This window comes from Homo sapiens, chromosome 4 (assembly GCF_000001405.40).
Source record: "Homo sapiens chromosome 4, GRCh38.p14 Primary Assembly".
In the NCBI taxonomy this organism is placed as follows: Eukaryota; Metazoa; Chordata; class Mammalia; order Primates; family Hominidae; genus Homo; species Homo sapiens.
Genome location: NC_000004.12, coordinates 178,377,154 through 178,381,672, shown reverse-complemented (window position 1 = coordinate 178,381,672; position 4,519 = coordinate 178,377,154). Strand labels below are relative to the sequence as shown.

At 41.3% G+C, this 4,519-nt stretch overlaps 1 annotated feature.

Moving 5' to 3' along the window:
• Positions 1,970-2,470: an enhancer, noted in NCBI's record as "H3K27ac hESC enhancer chr4:179300357-179300857 (GRCh37/hg19 assembly coordinates)". NCBI's record gives its function as "activates a minimal SCP1, AML or CMV promoter by ChIP-STARR-seq in naive H9 embryonic stem cells {active_cell/tissue: H9 hESC(naive)}" and the evidence as "EXISTENCE:reporter gene assay evidence [ECO:0000049][PMID:30033119]".

Below are 4,519 nucleotides of genomic sequence, written 5' to 3'. Positions count from 1 at the left end.
TGTTTTTTGAGACAGAGTCTTGCTCTGTCACCCAGGCTATGGTACAGAGGAGCCATCTCGGCTCACTGCAACCTCTGCTACCCGGCTAAAGTGATTCTCCTGCCTCAGCCTCCCAAGTAGCTGGGATTACAGGCATGTGCCACCTTGCCCAGCTAACTTTTTTTGTATTTTTTAGTAGAGACAGGGTTTCACCATGTTGGCCAGACTGGTCTCAAACTCCTGACCTTGTGATCCACCCACTTCGGCCTCCAAAAGTACTGGGATTACAGGTGTGAGCCACTGCACCCAGCCATTTGTTGGTTTAAAGACTGTTTTGTCCGAGACTAGGATTGAAACCCCTACTTTTTTTTTTTTTTTTTTTTTTTTTGCTTTCCATTTGCTTGGTAAATTTTCCTCTGTCCCTTTATTTTAAGCCTGTGTGTGTCTTTTGCCCATGAGATGGGTCTCCTGAATACAGCACGCCAATGAGTCTCAACTCCTTATCCAATTTGCCAGTGTGTGTCTTTTAATTGGAGCATTTAGCTCATTTACATTTAAAGGTAGTATTGTTATGTGTGAATTCGATCCTGTCCTCATGATGCTATTTGTTTATTTTGCAAACTAGTTGATGCAGTTTCTCTGTAGTGTCATTGGTCTTTATATTTTGGTGTGTTTTTGCAGTGGCTGTTACTGGCTTTTCCTTTCCATATTTAGTGCTTCTTTCAGGAGCTCTTGCAGGGCAGGCCTGGTGGTAATGAAATCCTTCAACATTTGCTTGTCTGGAAAGGATTTTATTTCTCCTTTGCTTATGAAGCTTAGTTTGGCTAGGGATATGAAATTCTGGGTTGGAAATTCTTTTCTTTAAGAATGTTGTATATTGGTCCCCAATCTCTTCTGGCTTATAAAGTTTCTGCTGAGAGGTCCACTATAAGTCTGATGGGCTTTCCTTTGAAGGTGGCCTGGCCTTTCTCTCTGGCTGTCCTTAACAGTTTTTCCTTCATTTTGACCTTGGAGAATCTGATGATTATGTATCTTGGGGTTGATCTTGTGGAGTATCTTAATGGTGTTCTCTGTATTCCCTGAATTTACATGTTGGCCTGTCTTGCTAGGTTGGGAAGTTCTCCTGGATAATATCCTGAAGTGTGTTTTCCAGCTTGTTTCCATCCTCTCTGTCTCGCTCAGGTACTCCAATCAATGGTAGATTTGAACTTTTTATGAAGTCCCATATTTCTTGGAGGCTTTGTTCATTCCTTTTCATTCCTTTTTCTCTATTCTTGTCTGCATGTCTTATTTCAGTAAAGTGGTCTTCAAACTCTGACATTCGTTCTTCCACTTGGCCTATTTGACTGTTGATACTTGTGTACGCTTCACGAAGTTCTCGTGCTGTGTTTTTCTACTCCATTTGGTCGTTTATGTTACTCTCTATATTGGATATTCTAGTTAGCAATTCCTCTAAGCTTTTATCAAGGTTCTTAGCTTCTTTGCATTAGGTTAGAACATGCTCCTTTAGCTCATGTAGTTTTTTATTACCCATTTTCTGAAGCCTGCTTCTGTCAATTCATCCATCTCATCCTCCACCCAGTTCTGCACCCTTGTTGGAGAAACGTTACAATCATTTGGAGAAGAGGCACTCTGGCCTTTTGGGTTTTCAGCATTTTATCATTGATTCTTTCTCATCTTTATGAGATGAGTTTGTCTAATTTCAGTCTTTGAGGCTGCTGATCCTTGGATGGGGTTTTTGGGGGGCCTTTTTTGTTGTTGTTGTTGTTGATGCTATTGTTGTCACTTTCTGCTTGTCTGTTTTTCTTTCAATAGTCAGGTCCTTATTCTGTAGGGCTGCTGCAGTTTGCTGTGGGTTCACTTCAGGTCCTATTCATCTGATTCGCTCCCGTGCTTGGGGATGTCACTCAAGCAGGCTGGAGAGTATCAAAGATGGGTGCCTGCCCCTTCTTTTGGGACCTCTGACCTCAAGAGGCACCAACTTTATGCCAGTTGGATCACTCCTGTATAGGGTGTCTGACACCCCCTGTTGGAGGGTCTCACCCAGTTGGGTGGCACAGGGAACAGGACCCATTTAAGGAAGCACTTTATCCCCTTGGTGGAGAGGGTGTGATTCACTGGGGGGAACCCACTTGTCTGGGCTGCTAGATTCCTCAGAACTAGCAGGAGGAGAGGCTAAGTCTGCTGGTCTGCAGAGACTGCTGCCAGCCCTCCCCCTGTAGTGGGGCTCAGGCCTGGGGAGATCCGAATTCTGTCCTTCAGCCTGTGGCTGGAGTTATTGGAGATCTTGCAGGGAAGCCCCAGCTACTGAAGAAGGATGAATCAGGGTTAGACCTGAAGAGGCACTTTGGCCACAGACTGCCACAACTGGTGTGTTGGGCTATGGGGACAAGTCTTGGGACCAAGCCGTCCAGCCTCCCTGGCTCCAGCAGGGGAAAAGTGCAGCCTGGAGCTATGGAAATGGGTGCCACCCTTCCCCTGCCCAAGAAACTTAGTGTGTTAGGCAGTTGCAAGTCCTAGTGATGGCTGCTGCCCCTCCCCCAAGGAACTCAAAAGCTTAGACAACAGGCAGCCACAGCCAGTACTAGTTGTCCATCCCTCCCCTGGGAGTTTGGTAGGCTTAAGCAGATTCCAACTGAGAGGCTGTAAGAATTTGCATGCCTTGGGGTTGGACGCTAGGCCCCAGTGGTGTGAGTTCACGAGTGGAATCTTCCAATCTGTGGGTTGCACAGTTCCATGAAAAAAAGCACAGTTTCCCTGGCTGGATAGCATGCTTGCTAACCACCTCCCTTGGCTGAGGGGAAAGGGGTTCTCCTTCCCCCTGTGGTTCTCAGGTGGGCCACGACACCACACTGCTCTTCCTTCTATCTGTGGGTCACGCCGGTCTTCTAGTCATTTTTGATGAGAGAACCTGGATACCTTGGTTGCCAGTAAAGGCTTCACACACTTACGTTTTTTTCTGATGGGAGCCTGCAATCGCTGCTGCTTCTACTCCTACACTAAAAATTATTCCTACTATATGTAGTGACTTCATTTATTTCTAGTGGCTTTCATTAAATATTGTGAATGTTTTAAAATGTTAATACCATTTAACTTTAATTGGTTACTTTGTTTTATGATATATGAAACGTGCAATAAAAAACTAAGGAAATTATCTGAATCTACTAATCCATATATTTCAGGTAAAAGCAAAATATTGAGCTGGCTTAATATTATATGTATGCATCATTTGAATTCCTTTAAATCTCAGCAATTTCGGACTTTTTTTTTTGCTTAATTCCTATGATTTTTTTCATTTCATCTGGTTGTAATCTTAGCTCTTTTAAATGCTAAAGTAGAAAGAATCAAAACAATAGAGCATATGAAATTATGACACAGATTTCTATAAGTGTTCTGTTCAAGACTCGCAACTAGTAGGCACGCTCCAATGTAGATTATCGTGTTTGCTATAGATGACATTTAGTTGTTTTCCATTATTAAAGGATGTTTCCTCTTGGAAAATTATGTTTCATGAATGTGATATCTCACCACAAATTAGAAAACCTACTTTTGGAGAATTCTACTGGTTTGCTAACAATGGGCCAAATTAGAAGTAATCCCTGACATTGTTCTGACTGTAGGTACTATGCTTAACTAACAGGATGAACACCCTTGGAACCTGGAAGCAATCACTTGTATTATACCTAAACCCTAGATGACAAAAGCTTACAAATTGACAGCAAGGCAACTACTCTTTCTGTCAAGTTAATGTTTATTAAAATAACATATCTTTTTATTTACTCTCTCTTTCTACATCTTCATTTTTTTTCTTCTTAGATGTACTTCAATTTTTTAAAGGTTAAATTATTTATTCAATATTGTGTAAAATAATTTGGAATTCTTCTAATCAATACCCTACTGATGTAGAATAAAATACTAGAATGTGTTAAACACAATATTTGATGTATTGAGAAAAGAGAAGAGTTGACAAAATTTAACTCTAGAATTAATTTCTTATATCCATGAATTACACTCCATTATTATTTTAACACATTCACCTTTAACCAAACAGGAAATTTAGCTGTACTGAGACAGGCAGGGACTCAGGTAAGGAAAAAAAAGGAGGACTACATACTTATATGTCATTAAATTGTCAAGATGCTAGTTCTAATATTAGATAAGAGAAGGAGTTTATTATATACTAGGTTGGTGCAAAAGCAATTGTGGTTTTGCCATTACTTTCAATGGCAAACCTGCGATTACTTTTGCACCAACCTAATACATGCTATATTGGGTCAATGATGAAACCCCTTCTATCGTAAATGAAGGAATACGGTCACAACCTGTGCATCAGAGTCTATAAAAACAGCAAAAACTCTTACTACTACTAAATGCAGTGGAGTAGTTTATAATATAGGGAAGCACTTATTAAAATGCATATTCTGAATGTGCAGTTCTGGCGGGGAGCTGAAAGTCTACATTTCTTTTTTTTGTTTGTTTGAGACAGAGTCTCGCTCTGTCGCCCAGGCTGGCGTGCAGTGGCGCTATCTCAGCACACTGC